The sequence below is a fragment of the Homo sapiens genome, chromosome 1, assembly GCF_000001405.40.
Source record: "Homo sapiens chromosome 1, GRCh38.p14 Primary Assembly".
Taxonomy (NCBI): Eukaryota; Metazoa; Chordata; class Mammalia; order Primates; family Hominidae; genus Homo; species Homo sapiens.
In genome coordinates, this window is record NC_000001.11 from 1858114 (window position 1) to 1882960 (window position 24847).

The 24847-nt window shown below is 47.3% G+C and overlaps 1 protein-coding gene across 33 annotated transcripts in view, besides 7 other annotated features; it reads right to left on the bottom strand.

Annotated features, from left to right (window-relative positions):
* Positions 1-24847, bottom strand: part of GNB1 (G protein subunit beta 1) — a 105802-nt gene that overhangs the window by 72828 nt on the left and 8127 nt on the right. For 8 of the 33 annotated variants that reach the window (XM_047418042.1, XM_047418059.1, XM_047418050.1 and 5 more), the window contains exon 2: positions 21674-21789. The exons of 23 other annotated variants lie outside the window; for them this stretch is intronic. The gene's annotated coding sequence lies outside the window, so the exon portion shown is untranslated. Of the gene's footprint in view, positions 1-15844; positions 16006-21673; positions 21790-24847 lie in introns of all 33 variants that reach the window. 2 more of the 33 variants (XM_047418045.1, XM_047418063.1) reach the window with 1 other exon arrangement.
* Positions 5155-5204: an enhancer, noted in NCBI's record as "active region_42". NCBI's record gives its function as "activates an Ori minimal core promoter by ATAC-STARR-seq in GM12878 lymphoblastoid cells {active_cell/tissue: GM12878}" and the evidence as "EXISTENCE:reporter gene assay evidence [ECO:0000049][PMID:35858748]".
* Positions 5265-5314: an enhancer, noted in NCBI's record as "active region_43". NCBI's record gives its function as "activates an Ori minimal core promoter by ATAC-STARR-seq in GM12878 lymphoblastoid cells {active_cell/tissue: GM12878}" and the evidence as "EXISTENCE:reporter gene assay evidence [ECO:0000049][PMID:35858748]".
* Positions 5335-5394: an enhancer, noted in NCBI's record as "active region_44". NCBI's record gives its function as "activates an Ori minimal core promoter by ATAC-STARR-seq in GM12878 lymphoblastoid cells {active_cell/tissue: GM12878}" and the evidence as "EXISTENCE:reporter gene assay evidence [ECO:0000049][PMID:35858748]".
* Positions 8455-8632: a silencer, noted in NCBI's record as "fragment chr1:1798007-1798184 (GRCh37/hg19 assembly coordinates)". NCBI's record gives its function as "represses an EF-1alpha promoter that drives an FKBP-Casp9 reporter gene in an ReSE screen in K562 erythroleukemia cells {active_cell/tissue: K562}" and the evidence as "EXISTENCE:reporter gene assay evidence [ECO:0000049][PMID:32094911]".
* Positions 23473-24022: an enhancer, noted in NCBI's record as "H3K27ac-H3K4me1 hESC enhancer chr1:1813025-1813574 (GRCh37/hg19 assembly coordinates)". NCBI's record gives its function as "activates a minimal SCP1, AML or CMV promoter by ChIP-STARR-seq in naive H9 embryonic stem cells {active_cell/tissue: H9 hESC(naive)}" and the evidence as "EXISTENCE:reporter gene assay evidence [ECO:0000049][PMID:30033119]".
* Positions 23473-24031: a biological region, named in NCBI's record as "Sharpr-MPRA regulatory region 3728".
* Positions 23737-24031: a silencer, noted in NCBI's record as "tiled region #3728; K562 Repressive non-DNase unmatched - State 14:Gen5'". NCBI's record gives its function as "represses a minimal TATA promoter and a strong SV40 promoter by Sharpr-MPRA in K562 cells {active_cell/tissue: K562}" and the evidence as "EXISTENCE:reporter gene assay evidence [ECO:0000049][PMID:27701403]".

Sequence of the window (24847 nt, forward strand, 5' to 3'; positions counted from 1 at the left end):
ACACAACTGCACAGTCACTGGTGTTTTTTCTTTTCTTTAAAAGCATTCATGAATATCCCCACTGCCTTATCTGCCTACTATGTCAAAAACAGGAGAGAAGGCCATGGCCAGAATCATGGAACATCCAATAAAGGCAGTCACTTGTTATTCTGACAAGTCATTTGTTTTCAGTTCATCTGTCGCATCTGTCAAGAAAAACACAGACTGTCTTCTAAAAGTCCGTTTTTAACTATTTTATTTTTTTTCAATGACAAATTCCACTTGTACCATAGAAGCCATATTCTGCATGTTGGAGAGGCCCCTTTGTGGTCCCTCATCCCTGGGTTCTTCCTGGGCATCCTATGGCCTCCCCTCTGGTGACAGGCAGCACCCCGAAGACTTAATTTTGATTCTTAAAAAGGGACAGATCCCTCCTTCCACCCTTGTCCAGGTACTTCCAGAGGGTGGGTCCCCTTCTCATGGGAACATACTACCCCCACTCACCAGACCACAGTGATGAGTCCAGCCCAGACTGTGGGCCATGAAAGCCTAAGCTCCCAAAACAAACAAGATGCCAGGGACACTGCAGCCATCTCAGAGGACACCGAAAGACATTTTAAAGCCAAGGGAAGCACAGCAGAACATCAGCTGCTGGACACCAAGGGAGCCACAGCTCGAGGGGGTTCGTGCTCCAACAGCAGATGGAGCTACACCCTTCCCGATGACGTCACATCCTAATAAAGCCCTGTTTGCAGTGGCTGCTGTGATAAAAAAGCAAGCTCTGCATGAAATCAACATGGAACAGGAAACAAGGGGTGGGGTGGGACGGAGTCCAATCTGATTCTGAAGTTTGAGAAGCTGTACAACCCATTAGTAATTGTGGCTATTTAAAAATAAAATACAGTTTCCTTCAATTTATGGGTATTTATTTTCTTTTTTTTTTTTTTGGAGGCAGAGTTTCACTTGTTGCCCAGGCTGGAATGCAATAGCGCGATCTCAGCTCACTGCAACCTCCACCTCTCAGGTTCAATCAATTCTCCTGTCTCAGCCTCCCAAGTAGCCAGGATTAGAGGCATGCACCACAAAGCCCGGCTAATTTTTATATTATTAGTAGAGACAGGGTTTCACAATGTTGGCCAGGCTGGTCTCGAATTCCTGACCTCAAGTGATCCACCCGCCTGAGCCTCCGAAAGTGCTGGGCTTACAGGCGTGAGCCACCACGCCCCGACGGGGATTAGTTTTCAAATGGCTACCCTAACTTCCTAGGACATAAATAGTTAAACTGTTTAGATGGAAAGATTCAACAAAGGGCTGGGCGTGGTGGCTCATGTGAGCCTGTAATCCCAGCACTTTGAGAGCAGCCTGGGCAACAGAGGGAGATCCTGTCTCTTCAAACAAACAAAAAAATTCAATAAAGGGAATGTGAACTATGTATCGTGGCCTAAAGGCATTTGGAGACATAAAGGTGCCATGAATCTGCCCTCAGGGATGAGACGCCAACGGAGACTGATTGGCAGGAGTGGGGGAGGAAAGAAAATGTAAAGAAAGGGGGAGCAGGGTAAACTAAAGGAGAGAAAAGGGGAGAGGAAGGAGAAGTGGGGTGGGGGAGAGGGGTGGGAAAGAAGAGGGAGGCAGGCCGGGCGCGGTGGCTCACGCCTGTAATCCCAGCACTTTGGGAGGCCGAGAGGCGGGCAAATCAGGAGGTCAGGAGATCGAGATCGACCATCCTTGCCAACACGGTAAACCCCTGTTCTCTACTAAAAATACAAAAAAGGTGTAAGGAAGGGATCCATTTTCAGTTTTTGTTGTGGGGTGGGGGGAGAGGGGACGGAAAGCATTAGGAGATATACTTAATGTAAATGTAAATGACCAGTTAATAGGTACAGCACACCAACATGGCACATGTATACATATGTAACAAACCTGCACGTTGTGCACATGTACCCTAGAACTTAAAGTATAATAAAAAAAAAGTAAACAAAGAAGAAGTAAAAAATAGCAACCATAAAAAGGAATGAAAGCATGTCCTTTGCAGCAACATGGATGCAGCTGGAAGCCATTATCCTAAGTGAATTAACACAGCAACAAAAAACTGAATACCACATGTTCTCATTTATAAGTGGGAGCTAAACATCAGGGACTTGTGGACATAAAGATGGCAAAAATAGACAATGGGGACTATTAGACAGGGGCATGATAGAGGGTGGCAAGAGTTGGAAAACTGACTGTTGGGTACTATGCTTAGTACCTGGGTGATGGGATTACTCATACCCAAACTTGAGCATCATGCAATATAACCAGGAAATAAACCTGCACATGCAACCCTGAATCTAAAATAAAAGTTGAAAAAATTAGTCAAAAAATAAATAAATAAAAACAAACAAACAAAAAAAAATTAGCCAGTCGTGGTGGTGGGCGCCTGTAGTCCCAGCTACCTGGGAGGCTGAGGCAGGAGAACGGTGTCAACCTTGGAGGCGGAGCTTGCAGCGAGCCGAGATCACGCCACTGCACTCCAGCCTGGGCAACAGAGCAAGACTCCATCTCCAACAAAAAAAAAAAAAAAGAGGGAGGAAGAGTCCCCACAAACCAGCCTGTGGGCAACAGAGCAAGACTCTGTCTCAAAAAAAAAGAGGGAGGAAGAGTCCCCACAAACCGACCAGACTGCAGCTCAGCTCTAAATCCACCCCAAAAGCCTCACCTACTGCTCTGCCCCTCCACTTTGCAGTAAGCTGTAACACACTACACGCTCATCAAAAATGGGAACTGACACTTTGGGAGGCCGAGCCGGACAGATCGCTTGAGGTCAGGAGTTCGAGACCCGCCTGACCAACATGGCTAAACTCCATGTCTACTAAAAATACAAAAATTAGCTGGGCATGGTGGCACGAGCCTGTAGTCCCAGCTACTTGGGAGGCTGAGACAAGAGAATCCCTTGAACCCGGGAGGCAGAGGTTGCAGTAAGCCGAGATGCTGCCACTTGCACTCCAGCCTGGGCGACAGAGCGAGACTCTGTCTCACAAAAAAAAAAAAAAAAAAGGGAACTGACTTCCCAATCTTTGTGTCTCAGAACAAAACCCAGCACAGCTGCGCACAGTGGCTCATGCCCATAATCCCAATATTGTGGGAGGCTAAGGCAGGGAGACTGTTAGAAGCCAGGACTTGGAGCCCAGTCTGGGCAACATAAAGAGTCCTCATCTCCACACACACAAAAAAATTTTTTAAAAATTAACTGGACATGGTGGTGCACATCTGTAGCTGAGGCAGGAGGATCACTGAGCCTCAGAGGTCAAGGCTACAGCAAGTTATGATCCCACCGCTGCACTCCAGCCTGAGTGACAGAGCAAGACCCTGTGTACTGTCTCAAAAATAATAATAATAATAATAATAAAAACCCAGCAGGAACTCAGTAACTGCTTATTGAAAGGCATCCCTCAAGGGAAGCAGGATTGGCAAGCAGCCTTGAGAACAGACACATCTCAGAGATTTTATATCCTCAGGGGGTTGGGGGTTGGTGGTGGGGGAGAAGTGATGGAGGGGCAAGAGAGGATGTAAGGAAGACACAGGTCAGAGCTGGAAGCAACCCTGAAGGAGGCTTCAATCTGTGGCTAAAACAGAGCTGGTGCTGAGGCTCCAGTTAGAGCTCAAACTGGACCCTTCAAGCAACACAGACAGCACTGGAAGCATTCACCAGAGAAGCCCCAGGACACATCTCTGGGGTATTCAGCTCAAAATGCAAAACCTGAATCCCCCCATGAGGCAGCCACCAGACCCAAAGTGAGGGATGTCCTACAGGATAACTGGCCTGTACTCTTTAAACCTCAAGGGAGGCCGGGCGCAGTGGCTCACGCCTGTAATCCCAGCTACTCGGGAGGCTGAGGCAAGAGAATCACTTGAGCCCCGGGGGTCGGAGGTTGCAGTGAGCTGAGATCGCACCACTGCACGCCAGCCTGGGCGACAGAGTGAGACTCCATCTCAAAAAAAAAGCCTGGTGTGGTGGCGCACACCTGTAATCCCAGCTACTTGGGAGGCTAAGGCAGGACAATCACTTGAACCAAGGAGATGAAAGTTGCAGTGAGCCAAGATTGCGCCACTGCACTCCGCCTGGGTAACAGAGTAAAACCTTGTCAAATAAATAAATAACTAAGTAAAGTGTATATGTTAGCAGAGCAACGTGGCAGTCCCATGTACCATGAATTGGAGGATGAAGAGCCACTAAGTAACTCCTGGGACCTCCTCTTCGGAGGCTTGTCAGGTAAATTAGGAGATGATTACAACAGTCTGAGTGAGAAGTCCACCCATTAACTTCTCCCCACACTGAGTGAGACAATCAGTTTCCTAAGTCTATTACCCGGTAGTGTAAAGTACTTCATTTTTATTAATTTTTTTTTTTTTGAGACAGGGTCTCGTTCAGTTGCCCAGGCTGGAGCGGCACAATTACGGCTCACTGCAGACTTGACCTCCTGGGCTCAAGCAATCCTCCCACCTCAGCATCCCGAGTAGCTGGGACTACAAGCCGTGCTCTGATGCCCCCGATTTTTGTAATTTTTGTAGAGACAGGGTTTCCCCCATGTTGCCTAGGCTGGTCTCCAGCTCCTGGGCTCAAGCAATCGGCTGCCTTGACCTCCCAAAGTGTTGGGACTACAGGCACAATCCACTACACCTGGCCAGTACTTTATTTGTACAGAAGCAGAACAAATACACCCAGCAGAAAGGTAAGGAAGCTGAGGAGGGCTCCCCGGTAAGGTATTACACGTAGGCATCACACCTTGGAGACTCTTAGAAAACACCACGGAGGAGGCAAGGTGGCTGAATTTGAACTGCAGTGGTGCTGAAGTCCACACAAATAACTGCCATACACACACAAGAGGGAAAACCAAACCTCATTCAGCCCCACGCCAGGCCACATCCCTCTACCTAAGAGCACAGTGCTAGACCCAGGCTGAATGTGTCTGACCCTCAGCACTGTGGACACTGGGGTCATCCCGGGTGGTGCAGGGTGCTGAACAGCATCACTGGCGTCTGTTCATCAGATGAACACAATCCTTGGTCACTGCCCCTCTTCAGCCATCAGTCTACAAATGGGCTGTAGAGGTTTTCCAACCAAACAAATGAGTAACAGAGGCTCAGATGGGCAAGTTGTGAGGTGGTGCTGGCTAGAAATGGAAGCAGTGAGGGCCACAGAGAAACAAAGAAAAGAAAGTATGTGACAACACCCAATCATGTAAGTTATGCAATTTATAGCCAACCTGAGTAATATGTGAGATAATTTGACTGATTTTAGAGCCTCATCTCCCACAGAAACCTGACCAATTCAGAAAAGCACTGCCGTCCCTTGCCCACTGTGGCTGCTGCCACTGGAGGGGTTTGGGAGTGGGGCAAACACACCCCAGACATTGCAAAGCGTCAACAAAGCCCTTTACTGAAACGTCTACTTAGGAGACCTAACTGCCTTTCTATGGCTAAACCTAGTGTTCAGGCTCCACCACCTTCTACATGCTGCTACTCTGTTAACTATAAAAGAACACAAAAAACAAAAACCCACAGGACTCACTCTTCATCCACAAATAGCTCATTTTGAGATCTTCTCCTTCCAAGGTTCTTTTAGTGAGCAAACACCCAAATTTCAGATATCACACACAGTAAGATTTCAAAGGAGATTTAAGTTGGAAAAATTCAGAAAACCTACCTATGCTTAAGCACTGAATCCCCACTCTCAGTGTAGTATATGGCAGCACATAATTGATAACATTTTTTTAAAGAATAGGACAGAACAATGTTTCTGTGGGAGGTGGTGTTGCACAGTGACTGAAAACAAGAGGGTCTGGGCCAGGCACACTGGCTCACGCCTGTAATCCTAAAATTTTGGAAGGCCAAGGCGGGTGGATCCAGTTTGGGCAACATAGTTGGACCCTGTCTCTACAAAACAAAAAAACAAAATTTAAAAAATTTGCCAGGAGTGGTGGCTCACACCTGTAATCCCAGCACTTTGGGAGGCTGAGGCAGGTGGATCACGAGGTCAGGAGTTCAAGATCAGCCTGGCCAAGATGATGAAACCCTGTCTCTACTAAATATACAAAAAAATTAGCCAGGCGTGGTGGCAGGCACCTGTAATCCCAGCTATTCAGGAGGCTGAGGCAGAGAGTTGCTTGGGAGGCGGAGGTTGCAGTGTGCCAAGATCGTGCCACTGCACTCCAGCCTGGGTGACAAGAGCAAGACTCTCTCAAAAAAAAAAAAAAAAAAAAAAGAAGAAAACCCCACGAAAAAACTATTCTTAGCTTCTGGGCCACAGAAAGAGATGGCTGTAGCGTGGCAACTTCTGGCTCATAGCATAGGGCCTAGTACACAGTAGGTAGTTAAAACGGCCGCAATGATACTGGTTTCTCCCACTATCATCACAAGTTATTCCCTCCGGCCGACCCATCCTGCCGATTACCACCTGGCCTGTAGGTTAACTTCATGTAGCCAATTCTGTGCCATGAGGAGCATGTTCCACCTAACAGAAACCTGACATTCCTGCACCCCAGGAAGTACATTTTTGGGTCTTTAAATCAAACTATATAATCTTGCCTAAGAACTCTGAAAAACCCAGTATACGAAAGACTTTTTCCACTAGTTTGTACTCTGAGTAAAATTCTTCGTTCTGCAATTTATAACTAAGAGGTTATATTTTAGTTGCTCATCTCCCAACACCTTTTACTCACTGCATCTTAGAGTGCTCACTTACAGCTGCTGATGCACATCTCCTCTTTCACAAAACGTAAAGGTTTCATCAGCTACAATTAGCTTAACCAATTACATTTTACTTGGCCTTTGGTTTTGCCTGATTGCCTTGTACAGAGTTATGAAGAGTATTGCTATCTAACATCTGTTATAAAAACTACCAGGCCAGGCCAGGCGTGGTGGCTCATGCCTGTAATCCCAGCACTTTGGGAGGCTGAGGCGGGCAGATCACAAGGTCAGGAGATCGAGACCATCCTGGCTAACATGGTGAAACCTCATCTCTACTAAAAATACAAAAAATTAGCCAGGCGTGGTGGCGGGCACCTGAAGTCCCAGCAACTCGGGAGGCTGAGGCAGGAGAATGGCATGAACCCGGGAGGCAGAGGTGGCAGTGAGCAGAGATCACGCCACAGAACTCCAGCCTGGGTGACAGAGTGAGACTCCATCTCAAAAAACAAAAAAAAAACAAAAAAAAACCAAAAAAAAAAAACAGGCAACACATTGTGGCTCATGCCTGTAATCCCAGCACTCTGAGAGGCCGAGGAGGGCGGATCACAAGGTCAGGAGATCGAGACCATCCTGGCTAACACGGTGAAACCCCATCTCTACTAAAAATACAAAACATTGGCCAGGTGTGGTGGCGGGCACCTGTAGTCCCAGCTACTCAGGAGGCTGAGGCAGGAGAATCGCTTGAACCCGGGAAGCAGAGGTCGCAGTGAGCCAAGATTGTGCCACCGCACTCCAACCTGGGCAACAGAGTGAGACTCCATCTCAAAAAGAACTACCGGATTACAGTTATGTTATGTTCACAATACCAGCATCCAAAAATATCCAGTGACAGGATACAGCAAGAAACATGACTACAAGGTCTATGAAACAGGAGACTACAGTACCTAAAAAGGCAGATTTAAACAAATTCCTGTAATGTGCTCATTTCAGTCATGCTAACTTGAGAAAGCTTTTAAAACTTTTAAATGTAAATAATCCACTTTCACATTTCTTCCAAAATGAAAAATAACTCCTTTTTTCTGTCACTGACTTTGGCGAATTTTCCAAAAAATAAAGAGAAAACAGTTTTGTTTTTTGGTTGTTGTTTTTTGAGACCACGCCTGGCCTTGAAAACAGTATTTATTTATTTTTTTTTTTTTTGAGTTTCACTCTTGTTGCCCAGGCTGGAGTACAATGGCGCAACGTTGGCTCACTGCAACTTCCGCCTCCGAGGTTCAACTGATTCTCCTGCCTCAGCCTCCCAAGTAGCTGGGATTACAGGCATGCACCACCACGGCCAGCTAATTTTTTCTATTTAGTAGACAGACAGGGTTTCACCATCTTGGTCAGGCTGGTCTCAAACTCCTGACCTCAGGTGATCCACCCGCCTTGGTCTCTCAAAGTGCTGAGATTACAGGCGTGCGCCACTGCGCCCAGCCAGAAAACAGTATCTTAAAACAGTATGTTCCTTTCCTCCATTCACCCCATGAGATACCACGTTTCACAGGGATGTCTTCCAGACTTTGATACATATGTGCATAATTTTTCACAAGTCAATCAAATGATACCATATTCCCCAAACTATACATATTCAAAATGCCCAACCATTTACTGTATTGTGGTCATCTCTTCATGCCAATAAAGGAAGGCCACCTTAAATCTTTTTAACAACTGCACAGTATGCCATTCCAAGTCTGCCTTAATTTAACCAATCTATTGATGGACATTTAGATTCATCCAGGGGTGTCCAATCTTTTGGCTTCCCTGGGCCACATTGGAGAATTCTGTCTTGGGCCACACATAAAATACACTAACTAGTAATAGCTGATGAGCTTAAAAAAAAAAAAAATCGCTAAAAAAAAATCTCAATGTGGCCGGGCGCGGTGGCTCACGCCTGTAATCCCAGCACTTTGGGAGGCCGAAATGGGCAGATCACGAGGTCAGGAGATCGAGACCATCTTGGCTAACACGGTGAAACCCCGTTTCTACTAAAAATACAAAAAATTAGCTGGGTGTGTTGGCAGGCGCCTGTAGTCCCAGGTACTCAGGAGGCTGAGGCAGGAGAATGGCGTCAACCCGGGAGGCGGAGCTTGCAGTGAGCTGAGATCGCGCCACTGCACTCCAACCTGGGGCACACAGGGAGACTCCATCTCAAAACAAACAAACAAAAAAACCTCAATTCTAGGCCGGGTGCAGTGGCTCACGCCTATAATCCCAGCACTTTGGGAGGCTGAGGTGGGCAGGTCGCCTGAGGTCAGGAGTTCGAGACCAGCCTGGCCAACATGGCGAAACCCCATCTCTATTAAAAATACAAAAATTAGCCAAGCATGGTGGTAGGCGCCTATAATCCCAGCTACTCGGGAGGCTGAGGCAGAAGAATTGCTTGAACCTGGGAGGCAGAGGTTGCAGTGAGCCGAGATCAGGCCACTTCACCCCAGCCTGGCAAGAGCGAAACTCCACCAAAAAACAACATTTTAAGAAAGTTTACAAATTTGTGTTGGGCTGCAATGCGGCCCACAGGCCTCAGGTTGGACAAGCATGACTAGGCATTCATACAGCAAATATTTATTGAGACCTACTATGTACCAGGCACTGTCAGAGGATATACCAGGAAATAAAACATGAAGTTCTCTACCCTCATGGAGCTTATATTTTAGTGGCTACTGACAATTTTTTGCTTTTATACCAAAAATTCTAGCTAGGAGTTTTTGAGCATTGTCTGTCTTAAATATTTGGCTTTTATAACTAATTTTATAATAAGCATTCTCTTATTTCTTCCTTTGGATAAATTTCTAAAAATAGACTTGCTGGAACAATTATTTTAGAAATGCTTTTATACTAAAAATAATAACCCTTTATCATATATATTCCTAACATTTTTCTAATTTTCCTGCCTTTGAACTATAGTTCAGAGGCCCCCAAACAGGCATCTTTTGCTGTAGATATGTTCCGAATGCTTAAGCAGATATCTTTTCATAGCTTATAGCCTTATTGTCAAACTAAGAAACTCTTTACCTACAGCTGGATTGCCAGTTGATCCAATACCTTTTACATGACAAACCATCCATTCCCAACTGATTGTAAATGCTACATTAATCATAAATTCCCATTAATTTATAGATCAGTATCTAGACTGCTTTGTTCCACTTACCTATAATACTTATAAAAAATCTACTAGGAAACGTTCCCCCTTTTCTTTCTTTAGAACTCCCCTCAAATATTTACTTCTCCAAATCAAGTGACATCTTGAAAATATTCAAGCACATGCATATAGGAATACTGCATTCAAGTTCTGTATTTATGTCTATCTATTCAAGTTCTCTTTCACCTCTTCAATAATGCATCTAAAGGTTCCTTCATATAGTGTGTGTTTTGTTTTTTTGTTTTTTTTTGAGACGGAGTTTCGCTCTTTTTGCCCAGGCTGGAGTGCAATGGTGCGATCTCAGCTCGCTGCAACCTCTGCCTCCCGGGTTCGAGCAATTCTCCTGCCTCAGCCTCCCGCGTAGCTGGGATTACAGGCATGAGCCACCACATCCAACTAATTTTTGTATTTTTTAGTAGAGATGGGGTTTTACCATGTTGGCCAGGCTGGTCTCAAACTCCTGGCAATTGACCTGCCTCAGCCTCCCAAAGCGCTGGGATTACAAGCATGAGACACCGTGCCTGGCCATGTTTTCCCGTTTTTAAAAGTGAAAAAGTTAGCCGGGCACAGTTGCTCACGCCTGTAATTCCAGCACTTTGGGAGGCCGAGGCAGGTGAATCACGAGGTCAGGAGTTCAAGACCAGCCTAGCCAAGATGGTGAAACCCCGTCTCTACTAAAAATACAAAAAAATTAGCCAGGCATGGTGGCGGGCACCTGTAATCCCAGTTACTCAGGAGGCTGAGGCAGAATTGCTTGAACCCAGGAGGCGGAGGTTGCAGTGAGCCGAGATTGTGCAACTGCACTCCAGCCTGGGTGACAGAGTGAGACTCCATCTCAAAAAAGAAAAAAAGTGAAAAAGTTTTAGGCCTAACAATCATGAAACAAATGCCATTAGTGTATTTGCCTAAGAACTCAAAAAATCTTCTGAAGTTAATTTCTATAAAGAATAAGTTATTTACAGCCAGGCGTGGTGACTCATGCCTGTAATCCCAACACTTTGGGAGGCTGAGGTGGACGGACCACGAGGTCAGGAGATCAAGACCATCTTGGCTAACAAGGTGAAACCCCGTCTCTACTAAAAAAATACAAAAAAATTAGCCGGTGTGGTGGCGGGCACCTGTAGTCCCAGCTACCTGGGAGGCTGAGGCAGGAGAATGGCATGAACCCAGGAGGCGGAGCTTGCAGTGAGCTGAGATCACACCACCGCACTCCAGCCTGGGCAACAGAGCAAGACACCTTCTCAAAAAAAAAAAAAAAAAAAAAAAAAAGAATAAGTTACTTACAAAAAAGAAGCAAACTTACAAAGACCAGAGGCTCTAGTCAGTCCACTGCTCCTTTATGTTGTTATCTGACCATTCATTATCTCAGACACTTACTACTGACTTCTATAAGAATCCAAAAAACAGAATTTCACTAGAAGGTGACAGTCTTGTTTCAGCTAACCATTCATGCCCAAGAGCTTAATTACAGGGTGGACCTCAGCCCCCACCTTAGTGTCTCTCAGGTGGGTGGGATGAAGTCAGAGAAAAGGCAGTGCAGCACCAGCAACACAGGTCCATCAGGAACTGGAGCTTTTCCTACTGTCCCTGCTTCCTCCTCCCGTGAATCCCAACAATCACAGCCACAGAAATAGTAAGCAGGAAAAAACAAGGAGGTGGCAGTAGAGGAGCCTATTTGTCTTATCACAGTTATTCATCACGTAGCTGGTTCCTCTTTTCTGCCTCTTCTTCCAGATGACCCAACTACCCTCAAACTGCCCTCCCAACCCCGAAAGAAAGTCTCTGATTTTGTAATAGGTCAATATATACAAAAACTTCAGAGCTATTTATATTCCATTTATCAAGGACAACCTACGCTAACACACTTGTACAACACAACTTGTAATGCTGCTTTGTTATGTCTTCAGATTCAAAAACAATCTTTTCTTTTTTTTTCTTGAGACAACATCTCACTCCATCACCCAGGCTGGAGTGTAGTGGTACAATCTAGGCTCACTGCAACCTCCACCTCCTGGGTTCAAGAGATTCTCCTGCCTTAGCCTCCTGAGTAGCTGGGATTATAGGCACCCGCCACCATGCTCAGCTAATTTTTGTTTTTAGTAGAGACGGGGTTTCACCATATTGGCCAGGCTGGTCTCGATCTCTTGACCTCAAGTGATCTGCCCGCCATGGCCTCCCAAAGTGCTAGGATTACAGGCGTGAGCCACCGCACCAGGCCCAAAGACAATCTTATGTTTTTGTTTGTGGGGTTTTGTTTTTGCTTTTTTGAGACAAGGTCTCACTCTGGCACCCAGACTGGAGTACAGTGGCATATCATAACTCAGTGTAACCTCAAACTCCTTCTGCCTCAGCCATCCCAGTAGCTAGGACTACAGGCACCATGCCCAGCTAATTTTGTTTTTTAAACTTTTTGTAGAGACAGGGTCTCACTACATTGTGCCCAGGCTGGTCTAAAATTCCTGGCCTCAAGGGATCCTCGCAACTCAGCCTCCCCAAATCCAGAGATTACAGGGATTATAGTTATAAGCCACTATAATCAGCCCGTCTTGTTTAAAAATCAAATCCCTCCCTATCAAACTCAGCTTTCTGAATCGCACTTTGTCTTTTCCAAAACATAATATTCTGAGCTCAGCAGACACTTCCTTATGCGCTGTTACGCATGTTAGCGTTGCTGGAATTACAGTAAGAATAATCATCTGCCAAGAGCCAGTTCAACCCATTTCTGATATAAAAAGCCATTTTAGCACTTTGGGAGGCAGAGGTGAGTGGATTACCTGAGGTCAGGAGTTCAAGACCAGCCTGACCAACAGGGTGAAACCCCACCTCTACTAAAAATGCAAAATAAATTAGCTGGGCGTGGTGGCACACACCTGTCATCCCAGCTACTCGGGAGGCTGAGGCAGGAGAATCGCTTGAACCTGGGAGGTGGAGTGAGCCAAGATTTCACCACTGCACTCCAGCCTGGGCGACAGAGACTCCATCTCAAAAAAATAAACAATAAAATAAAATAAAAACAGAACTCTCCACTGTTGCCCACATCACCCTCCAACTACTGAGCTCCTTCTCTGAGCCCTCTAGAGCAACCTTCTTTAAGTCGTATCTACACAGGTGGTCTCCTCTTCCATCTCCTATGTTTCAATTGACTCCAATCTGGCTTTCACTCCCTACCGTGAAACCAAAAGGGCTGACCACCTAGTACCTGCAGTCCTTAAATTTAAGGAACCTTTGGCCAGGTACAGTGGCTCACACCTGTAACCCCAGCATTTTGGATAACATTAAGGCCGAGGCAGGTGGATCACTTAAGGCCAGGAGTTAGAGACCAGCGTGACCAACATGGTGAAACCCCGTCTCTATTAAAAATACAAAAATTAGCCAGGCATGGTGGCACACATCTATAATCTCAGCTACTCAAGAGGCTGAGGCAGGAGTATTGCTTGAACGTAGGAGGCGGAGGTTGCAGTGAGCCCAGATCGCGCTACTGCACTCCAGCCACGGCAACAGAGTGAGACTTAAGGGAACCCTTTCCCCACCCCCATTCACCTGACTCCTCAACTGCACCCTACACTGTCACATCCCACCTCTCCGTGTCTCCTCGATCTAACCTCTAATAGCTGGGCACCCCACCTCTCCTTTTAATAACCCCTCCACCGACCATCACAAAAACAGAAAGACCAAGACTTCCAGACTGGACTCCAGGCCAACAGGCTGTTAGCCGGCGGTTGGCACTTAGTTGCCCTATACCCATTTTGAGCTTCAGATATTCAAGGCATGGCTCTGCACAGCCAACAGATTTGCCTCCCCTCAGTGCTCAACATCACCACCCTCTACATGTGCAAAGCACACACAGAAATCATCCTGGCCTCCTTCCTTTCCCTACTCCCCTACACCCGGTCCATCAGCAACCTGGCTGACTCTACCACCCATTTCTTCCCATTTCCTTAGTCTCCATCCTCAGCCAAACCACGCCATTTCTCATCAACAGTCTCCTTAAAATGACCTCTGTCTCAATCTGTGCCCCCGACAATCCATTTTTCATTCAGCAATCTGAACAATCTTTTTTCTTTTTTTTTTTTTCTTAAGACAGGGTCTCGCTCTGTTGCCCAGACTCGAGTACAGTTGTGTGATCATAGCTCACTGCAAACTCCAACTCCTGGGCTGAAGCGATGCTCCCTCCTCAGCCTCCCCAGTAGCTGGAACTACAAGTGTATGCTACAATGCCCAGCTAATTTTTTCTTTTAAGTAGAGACAGAGTCTTGAACTCCTGGGCTCAAGCAATCTTCCTGTCTCAACCTCCCAAACTGTTAGGACTATAAGCATGAACCACTGCACCCAGCCTCAACAATCTTTTAAAATTCACCTTTTGTCACTTGAGGCTTAAAATTTTTCAACGGCTTCCCACTGCATCAAGGAAAACATCCAAGCTCTCTGCCAGTTTGGAAACTAGAGAATGCACCATCTGCACGAGGACCCTCACCTGGTATAAATCAAGACTGTCCTGGGCAAACTGGGCCTCTGGCACCTGCCTGAGGCCGTGTGGCCAAGGCCTGGCTTCCACCCCTACCTCTGCCCTACAGCTTTGCTCCTGTGTGCTGAGCTTCACCCGCTGTCCCTTCCGCAGGACCTCTGCTGAGCTTCGCCTGCTGTCCCTTCCGCAGGGCCTCTGCAATCACTGCCCTCTCCACCTGAAGCATAGGGGCTCCTTGCCTACCTGGTTCCTTCTCATCCTTCAGGCCTTTACTCTAAATACCCTAAACAATACCCTAAACCAAGTGCCCTCTCCACCCAACAGCTCACAGCACCTACCACAGGCCCAAACTTCGCTTCTTCCAGTTCGCCATCTCCCCACAGAGAATGAACCACCAGTTGCAACTTCTCGGTACTCAACCATCACCAAGCACAGTGTCTTGCTCAAAGTAAGTACTTGGTAAATATTTGTTAAAGAGTTCACTCCATCCCACAGATACCATATTATTAACTGGGCATCCTAAAGCAGGAAGTTCTTGAGGTCACACAGTATAGGAAAGGCTGTGATGAAAAATGGCCACGGTTTCTGCAAGTCCCACCATTAAGGACCAGAGTCTATCTCCTACTCTCCAAGCCTGTGCTAAGCCTTGTTTTTTTTTTTTTCTTCATTTTCGGTAGAGATGCGGTCTCACTATGTTGTCCAGGCTGGTTTCAAACTCCTGGCCTCAAGCCATCCTCCCACCTTGGCCTCCCAAAGGGCTGGGATTACAGGCATGAGGCAGCACTCCTGGCCTATGCTAGGCCTCATAACTTGCAATAAGCAAGGGAATGCAACAGAGGTGACACTGTGACTTCTAAACATGTCCTCAAGTAGCCTGTCAAACTCTGCTCCTGCCCTTTTGGAATTCAGCCACTATGGGAGGAAGCCTGAGCTAGACTGTTGGAGAGGCAGGCTGAGGAGATCAGAGGCACCCTGGCTGAAAGCCCATGTGGGTGAGGGCAATGGGAAGCACAAGCCAGCCTACCTGCCAACTGTTAATTGCCCTTGCTAGCGTGGCCAGCACAGTGAACAGAGATGAGCCCTGCCCACATCCATACTCCCACATGATGATGAACAAGGACTTACTGTTTTAAGTCGCTTCATTTTGGGGTAGTTTGTTACCCAGGAGCATATAACTGATGTAAGGCCATGACAATATGCTCTTCTTAAACTTGGCGCCGAGACTGGACGCAGTGGCTCACACCTGCAATCCCAGCACTTCGGGAGGCCGAGGTGGGCGGGTCACCTGTAATCCCAGCTACTCAGGAGGCTGAGGCAGAAGAATTGCTTGAACCCCAGAGGCAGAGGTTACAGTGAGCCAAGATGGTGCCACTGCACTCCAGCCTGGGCGACAGAGCAAGACTCCATCTTAAATAAACTTGGCACCGAGACTGCTGGACTGGACAATTCTCCATGGTGGAGCAGGATCCCTGTGGCACACCCCAGCTGTCACAACCACCAATGTATCCAGGCAGGCAGCGTGGGGACTAAATACAAGAGGGAACGCATACCTGCCTCTAGGGGACTCAGCACTTTCACAGGGGAAGGAAAGATTCCCTGCTTTGGAGGCATTCTTTATGTCTTCTCATTGACTTCTGATCTAGGTTACTGGTCCCCAAGGACAGTCAGTGGAACAAATGCTGGCAGCAGCCTCGATCCATCCCTGTGGAAGCTACCGAGGACAACACTCTTCAGTTCCCACAAAAGAAAGACTAGCAAAGCATAAACACAACGCGCCTCCTGGCCAGGTGCGGTGGCTCACGCCTGTAATCCCAGCACTCTAGGAGGCCGAGGCAGGCAGATCACGAGGCCAGGAATTCAAGAGCAGCCTGGTCAACATGGCAAAACCCTGTCTCTACTAAAAATACAAAAATTAGGCCGGGCGTGGTGGCTCACGCGTGTCTGTAATCCTAGCACTTTGGGAGGCTGAGGCGGGCGGACTGCCTAAGCTCAGGAGTTGGAGACCAGCCTGGGCAACACGGTGAAACCCCGTCTCTACCAAAGTACAGAGAAAGCCGGGCGTGGCGGTGTGCACCTGTAGTCCCAGCTACTCGGGAGGCTGAGGCAGGAGAACTGCTTGAACCTTGGAGGCAGAGGTTGCAGTGAGACGAGACTGCACCACTGCACTCCAGCCTGGGAAGCAGAGCAAGACTCCATCTAAAAAAAAAAAAAAAAAAAAAAAAAAAGTACAAAAATTAGCTGGGCATGCTGGCACACGCCTGTAGTCCCACCTACTTGGGAGACTGAGACAGGAGAATTGCTTGAGCCTGTGAGGCGGAGTTGCAGTGAGCTGAGATGGTGCCACTGCAGTCCAGCCTGGGTGACAAAGAGTGACACCCTGTCTCAAAAAAAAAAGACAAAAAAAAAGTGCCTCCTGAGCTTCGTTCTGTGAAGCATCCAGAATCCTTACAGCAGCGGTCACCAACCTTTTTGATGCCAGGGACCGGTTTTGTGAAGGACAATTTTTCCACAGACAGAGGGGATGGTTTTGGGATGAAACTGTTCCACCTCAGATCATCAGGCATTAGATTCTCATAAGGAGTGCACAGCCTACATCCCTCGCGTGTGCAGTTCATGACGGGGTTCACGCTCCTATGAGAATCTAACACTGCCGCTGATCTGACAGGAGGTGGAGCTCAGGTGGGAATGCTCGCTTGCCCACCTCTCACCTGCTGTGCAGCCCGGCTCCTAAGAGACCACAGCCCAGGAGTTGGGGGCCCATGCTTAGAAGACATTTTATCTTTTTCTGGTTTTTTTTTTTTGGAGACAAAGTCTTGCTCTGCCTACCAGTCTGGAGTGTAGTGGTGTGATCTCAGCTCACTGCAACCTCAACCTCTCCAGTTCAAGTGATTCTCATGCCTCAGTCTCCCAAGTAGCTGGGTCTACAGGTGCACGCCACCACACCCCACTAAACTTTTGTGTTTTTAGCAGAGACGGGGTTTTCACATGTTGGTCAGGCTGGTCTCAAACTCCTGGCCTCAAGTGATCCACCCGCTGTGGCCTCCCAAAGTGCTGGGATTACAGGTGTGAGCCATCACACCTGGCCAAGGACACTTTACCTTTTCTATTTTGTTTTGTTTTAGAGGCGGGGTCTTGCTCTGTCACAGGTTGGAGTGCAGTGGCACAATCATAGCTCATTGCAGCCTCAAACTCCTGGGCTCAAGTGATCCTCTCATCTTGGCCTCCCAAAGTGCTGAGCTTACAGGAGTGAGCCACTGCATCCGGCCCCTTTTTCTATGTAAATTATCTTACAAGTTTCTTCAACCTCCAACAGAGACTTCATTTCACAAGGCTGGCCACAAGGGGAATGGGAAGACATGGAAGGCAAGAGAGCTAGAAACACAAGGGGCGAAGGATGAAGCTCTAGGAACTTTAGCAGGTTCAACAGTGTCCCCCCCCCCAAAATTCATGTCTACCTGGAACCTGGGAATGTGACCTTATTTGGAGCGTCTTTCCAGGTATGATTAGTTAAGTTAAAACGAGGTCATACTGAATTAGGGTGGCCCTAATCTAATAACTATGTCCTTATAAGGTGAGTAGAGACACTGAGAAAAGCCCACGTAAAACAGAGGTAGAGAGTGACTCCTCTACAAGCCACACTGCTGGCACCCACCAGAAGCCAGAAAGAAGAAAGGAAGTGTCCTCCCTTGGAGCCTTCAGAAGCACTGGGGCCCTGCCAACACCTTGATTTCAGACTTCTGTCCTCCAGAACTGAGGGAATCAATTCATTCTGAGCCATCCAACTTGTGATGATTTGCTACAGCAGCCACAGGAAACTAACATTGTGTCATTTCTGAAGACCTTTACTAAGCCAGAACCACAAGGGTAGAAATCAAGTGCCCAGATCAGCTTGGAGAAGGACTTGTTTTTTTTTAATAGAGACAGGGCTGGAGTGCAGTCGTACAATCAGGTCACTGCAGCCTCGAACTCCTGGGTTCAAGCAATCCTCCCACCTTAGCCTCCTGGATAGCTGGGACTACAGGTGTACACCATCAGGCCCAGCTAAGAAAAAGAGAGAGCAAGAGAGAGGACATGCATGTGCACACGAGAGAGAGAGAGAGAGAGAGAGCGAGCGTGCATGGCCACGTGCACGAGCCAGTGAGCAAGCGCACACACATGCAAAAATGGGGTCTCACTATGTTGCCTAGGCTGGTCTCAATCTTCCCACCTCAGCCTCCCAAAGTGATAAGTGTCATAGGCATAAGCCACCACACCCAGTCAATGGAGAAGCATTTCAGGAATGAAGGCAGAGTCAAACACCATCAGTAGTAGCGGTACTGGAAGCTAACACTTTGAGGTCTTGCTTGGCTTGAAGCTAAGAATTTTATTTGTAGCATGTCATTCAGTCCTCACAACAATCCTGGAAGACAAGAAAACTAAGGTAGAGACGTTCAGTAACTTGCTCCAGACCTCAAATCTGAGTTGGCAGAACCAGGATGTCCAGCACGTGGATTCAGGTACAAGAAATACCACTGATATCTACATAATTACTACTCATGTTTTCCAAGATGAATGACATTTGGAAACAATTACAAAGTAGAAAAATCACAATTTTAAAAATCTATATATACAGGCCAGGCGTGGTGGCTCATGCCTGTAATCTCAGCACTTTGGGAGGCCAAGGTGGGCGGATCACTTGAGGTCAGGAGTTCGAGACCAGCCTGACCAACATGGTGAAACCCCGTCTCTACTAAAAATACAAAATTAGCCAGGCATGGTGGTGTATGCCTGTAATCCCAGCTACTCAGGAGGCTGAGGCAGGAGAATCGCCTGAGCTGGGGAGGTGGAGGTTTCAATGAGCCGAGATCGCGCCTCTGCACTCCAGCCTGGGCAATAAGTGAGACTCTGTCTCAAAAAAAAAAAAAAAAAAATATATATATATATACACACACACACAGAGTGGGACCCCCAATCCGAGGAAAAACATCTCTATACACACATGCATGAGAGATACAAAACACTAGAAGAAATATAATAATCTTACATGGTTATTTCCTGATTGAGAGATTATAGATTTTTGCTGTATGTTCCTAATTTCCCTTTTTTATAAAATTTTATTTATTTTTTTAAAAATAGAGACAGGGTCTAGCTGTGTTGCCCAGGCTGGTCTCAAACTCCTGGCCTCAAGTGATTCTCCTGCCTCAGCCTCCCAAAGTGCTAAGATTACAGGCATGAGCCACCATGCCAAGCCCCTAATTTACTACAATGAACATTTTAGATGTTTTTATTAGCAAAATGAAGAAGCTGAAAATAAAACTGAGACAACAGGAACAAGATCTCCAGAGAAAGGATAGGATAGATGGTGGAGGCAATGGAAACAGACTGCCTGTTGGGGAGTTTAAAGAGAGAAAAACAAGAAGAGTGGCTAGAATAGATAGCAAGATTAACTGGGTGTTGAGTTACATAAGATTTAGGCATGTTTGAAGGTATAATAGAGTAGCCACTGACAAAACTGTTGGTAACTGTTTTCCAGTGGAAAAATGTTCCTTTTACTAACATAGGAAGAGGCAAATGCAGACACAGAAGTCTTCTCAGATGAATGAGGAGAAAGAGCTCACACCAGCAGGTCTATAATGCATAGGCTCCAGGAGCAATGACCCAAGAACTAAGTTCACTGTCACCACGGCCAACTGTCTAATCTCCCTGTAGATCCAGTCATCTGTAAGATGGAGCTATTAACAGCACCTATCAGAGCTGATGTGAGGACCACGCAGTAATAGCATAGTTCCCAGCATGGTGCCTGGTGCAAGAAAGATACCCAACAAATGCGAGCTAATGGCACAGGCATCTTCAACAGGGCAAAACGCAAGTGCACCAACTGCCATGGGAGTGTCAGGCAGAGGGACTGGAAGGCTAAGGTTGTAGGGAATTTATTTCAACAGGAAAACCTTCAAGTACCTCTCCCAACACACTTTACATAATATGTATGCCAAGCGGGGATTAACCAATTTTCCAGGACTTATTTCAATTCCAAGTCCAAGCACAGCCCTGACTTGGGGCTTCTCCTGCCTGGAACCCTCTTTTCCCAGATGTCTGTCTGGTTTGTCTTCTCACCTCCTCCTACTCTCTCCTCAAATGTTTGGACCACCCTTTTCAACATGGAAGCACCAGCAATGCCTAGAGCCCTACAGCAGACTCGTCCGCCATCTTTTTCAGCACACAGCCTTTTCCACTGTCGCATAGGTAACATTCCTCTCACCAAGGCAAGTTGGCATCTCTTATTCACTGCCCATCACCTGCCTCTCCTTGGCACATCTTTGGCCCTGAATACGCATTTTACAAAAGATCTCTCCTCTCTTCCCCTTTATGGGCGCTGCCCTCTCAGTATTCCCATCTAAAATCCATGCAGACAGAGCCTCCCCTAGCCCCACACTTCTCTCTCCGACTACTTTCCTACAAGACTCTCCTCACCCCACTGGAACTCACTGGCCCTCAGCAATCTCTACCACTGACGAATCCATCTCCAACTTCGGACCATTCCCTCTGCTCTCAGAATACCTTCTGTGGGTTCTGCGACACTAGTGCTGAGAGTCTCCCAAAGTCTGGTCACTCCTTTAAGTGTTTCTCTTCCTCTGCACATCCCTAACACAAGGGCCTCTTCTCAAGCTACACCAACGGGTCTTCACCTCTGACAAATCTCTGAGTTCTCCTCCCCAGGAAAAGGCACAATCCTACAGTACTGCACATGGGGGCAGGGACAGGGTGCCTGTCTCCAGCTGAGAACTTCTCTGGTCCCCACAGGTGCCCTGGGCCTGGCCCATTCTCTAAACCAGCGCTGCTCAGATATTTCGGCTCAGACCCCCTCTACATCCTCAACTATTAAGGACCCCAGGGGCTTTTGTTTATGAGGGTTTGATCTATCAATATTTACTGTGCTATAAATTAAAACTGAAATGTCCTAAAAATGTTTATCATTTGAAAATAAGCCCACTGCATGTTACCATACATAACATTTTTATAAAGAACAACTACTTTCTAGGCCGGGCGCAGTGGCTCATGCCTGTAATCCCAGCACTTTGGGAGGCCGAGGCGGGCAGATCACGAGATCAGGCGATCGAGAGCATCCTGCCTAACACGGTGAAACCCTGTCTCTACTAAAAATACAAAAATTAGCCAGGCGTGGTGGCAGGCACCTGTAGTCCCAGCTATTCGGGAGGCTGAGGCAGGAGAATGGCGTGAACCCAGGAGGCGGAGCTTGCAGTGAGCCAAGATCGCACCACTGCACTCCAGCCTGGGTGACAGAGTGAGACTCTGTCTCAGGGAAAAAAAAAAAAAAAAGAATAACTATTTTCTAAGAAAAATAATCTGGTGATAAGCCATATTTTACATTTTACATTTACCTTGTCTGCCTCAATGGGAGCAATGGATCTTCACATCGTGTCTGCTCTCAGCCTGATGCAATACACAGTTTTAGCTGAAGTCTAAGAGGAAAATTCAGTCTCACATAGATATGCAGCTGGAAAAAGAAAAGAGCTGTTTTTTGTTGTTGTTGTTGTTTTTTAAGACATAGGGCCTCACTCTGTCACCCAGGCTGGAGTGCCATGGTGCAACCATAGCTCACTGCAATCTCAACCTGCCAGGCTCCATCAATCCTCCTGCCTCAGCCTCCCCAGTAGATGGGACCACAGGCACGCACCACCATGCCTGGCTAATTTTCAAATTTTTTTGTAGAGATGGGGTCTCACTATGTTGCCCAGGCTGGTCTCAAAATCTCAGCCTCAAGTGATCCTCCTGCCTCACCCTCCCAAAGCACTGGGATTACAGGTGTGAGCTACCATGCCCAGCCAAGAACAGTATTTCTATAGAATTTTTATTTTATTTTTATATGTCAACACAATGAAAAGTCAAATAACATCTTAATATGATTATGAAGGCCGGACACGGCGGCTCACGCTTGTAATCCCAGCGCTTTGGGAGGCCGAGGCAGGCGGATCACGAGGTCAGGAGATCGAGACCACGGTGAAACCCCGCCTCTACTAAAAATACAAAAAATTAGCCGGGCGTGGTGGGGGGTGCCTGTAGTCCCAGCTACTCGGAGAGGCCGAGGCAGAATTGCGTGAACCCGGGAGGCGGAGCTGGCAGTGAGCCGAGATCGCGCCACTGCACTCCAGCCTGGGCGACAGAGAGAGACTCCATCTCAAAAAAAAAATATATATATATATGATGATGAAAACAGTTCTGACTAAGTGAATTCCTGAAACTGTCTCAGGAGCCCCCAGGGGTCCACGATCACACTTTGAGAACCACTGCTCTAAGTGACCACTGCTCCCCAAGACTTCAATCATCACCCAAATGTTGCTAACTCCCAAAGGCCTGCCTCCATCCAGACCTATCTTCCAGAGCTCCCCACTCACAGGCACAGGAGTCACTACGTCAGCATTTACTGTGTACCGTTTTAGGGGCTGGTCTGCAGTGAACCAGACTGCCTGTGTCCATGGAGCTTAGAAGAAGTGGGAAGAGCATTATCAGGCTACGAAGACAAGAGTGGGGTAAAACAGCAGAGATCAATGAGATCAGAGCACACCCTCGGAGGAAGGGATACATGACAAATGCCTGAACGGAGAGAGGGAGTGAACTGTGCAAACACACAGCCAGGAGTTTTCCAAGGACAGGGAGGAGAAAGTATAAGGCCTGCCGTACCCTCGATGCAAAACATGAGAAAGCCTCAGAGACTCCTCAAACCCAACACACACAAACTAAACTCATCATGACCCACAGCCACCCAGAGGGCAGACGGAAACCTGTGGTCATTTACATCTTTCTCGCCACTCTCGCCTTCCCTTCGGTCACCAGGTCTTATCAATCGTCAACCTGGTCCAGACCCCTTTCCTCTTCTACAGCAGCTTTGCCAACTGACTAGAGTCCCCTCCCTCCCCTGAGCACTCTACGCTCAACTACCAAGTAATGATCCCCATCAGATCAATCTCCTTAAAACTCTTTCAGGGCTTCCTGGAGCTCTCGAGGTAAAAGTTCATTTTTTTCTTTTTTTTTGAGTCTCACACTGTCACCCAGGCTAGGGTGATCTTGGGTCACTGCAACCTCCGCCTCCCAGATTCAAGTGATCCTTGTGCCTCAGCCTAATGAGTAGCTGAGAATACAGGTGTGCGCCACCAAGCCTAATTTTTATATGTTTAGTAGAGACAAGGTTTCACCATGTTGGCCAGGCTGGTCTCAAACTCCTGACCTCAAGTGATCCGCCCGCCCTGGCCTCCCAAAGTGGTGGGATTACAGGCATAAGCCACTGTGCCCGGCCTCAAGGTAAAAGCTCTTTATCCAGACTGTAAACCTTTTGGCTTCCAGGTCTAACCACTCTCCTAGCCCTTTGGAACTTCCGTCCCTGGATGTGCTGTGCTCTTATGCGCTTGATAAATAATTACTGAGCACCTGGCACACAGTATTGTGCGGGGTGCTGGAGACAGTGAAGGAGACCAGTTGGTTGCCGGATGAAAAACACACCATCTCATCAGCCTAGGATACACTCCTCCCCTCCATCCCCACCTGCCTGCCAGACAGACTCCAATTCAGGTCTCAAAGCTTTTTTTAATGAGAAGCTGCCACTGAACTCTGGACAGGGTGGTGTCCCTGGGAGCCACAGCCACTGCCCTCCGCTCTGTGCCTGCGTGTCAGGCTCCCTATTAGACCATGAATTCAGCAAGGCCCTGGATCACATGCATTCTACTATGGCTCACAGCCTCAGCACCCAGTAAGGTGCTAAATTGGGGCCAGGCACAGTGGCTCACGCCTGTAATCCTAACACTTTGGGAGGCCAAGGAGTTCAAGAGCGGCATGGGCAACAAGGTGAAACACCATCTCTACTAAGATACAAAAAACATTAGCTAGGCGTGGCGGCATGCACCTGTAATCCCAACTATTTGGGAGGCTGAGGCAGGAGAAGCGCCTGAACCTGGGAGGCGGAGGTTGCAGTGAGCCGAAATCGTGCCACTGCACTCCAGCTGGGTGACAGAGCAAGACTCCAACTCAAAAAAAAAAAAAAAAAAAAAAAAGAGAGAAGGTGCTAAGTCAACATCTGTTAAACAAATCACCATTACAGTTTTTATAAAAACAAGTGGAAAATATTTAATTATTGTCCCTATCAGCAAATCAAGGGACGTCAACAAATTTTGGTGAAATTAAAAAAAAATCTAGCTTCATAAATGGGAGGAGGAGAATTCTCTAAAAAAATGAACATAAATGGGCAGGGCGTGGTGGCTCACGCCTGTAATCCCAGCACTTTGGGAGGCCGAGGCAGGCAGATCACGAGGTCAGGAGTTTGAGACCAGACTGGCCAATATGGTGAAACCCTGTCTCTACTAAAAATACAAAAATCAGCTGGGCATGGTGGCAGGTGCCTGTAACCCCAGCTACTCTGGAGGCTGAGGCAGGAGAATTGTTTGAACCCAGGAGGTGGAGGTTGCAGTGAGCCGAGATCATGTCACTGCACTCCAGCCTGGGTGACAGGGCAAGACTCCGTCTCAAAAAAAAAAAAAGGACATAAACTTACCAGTTTTCAAAAT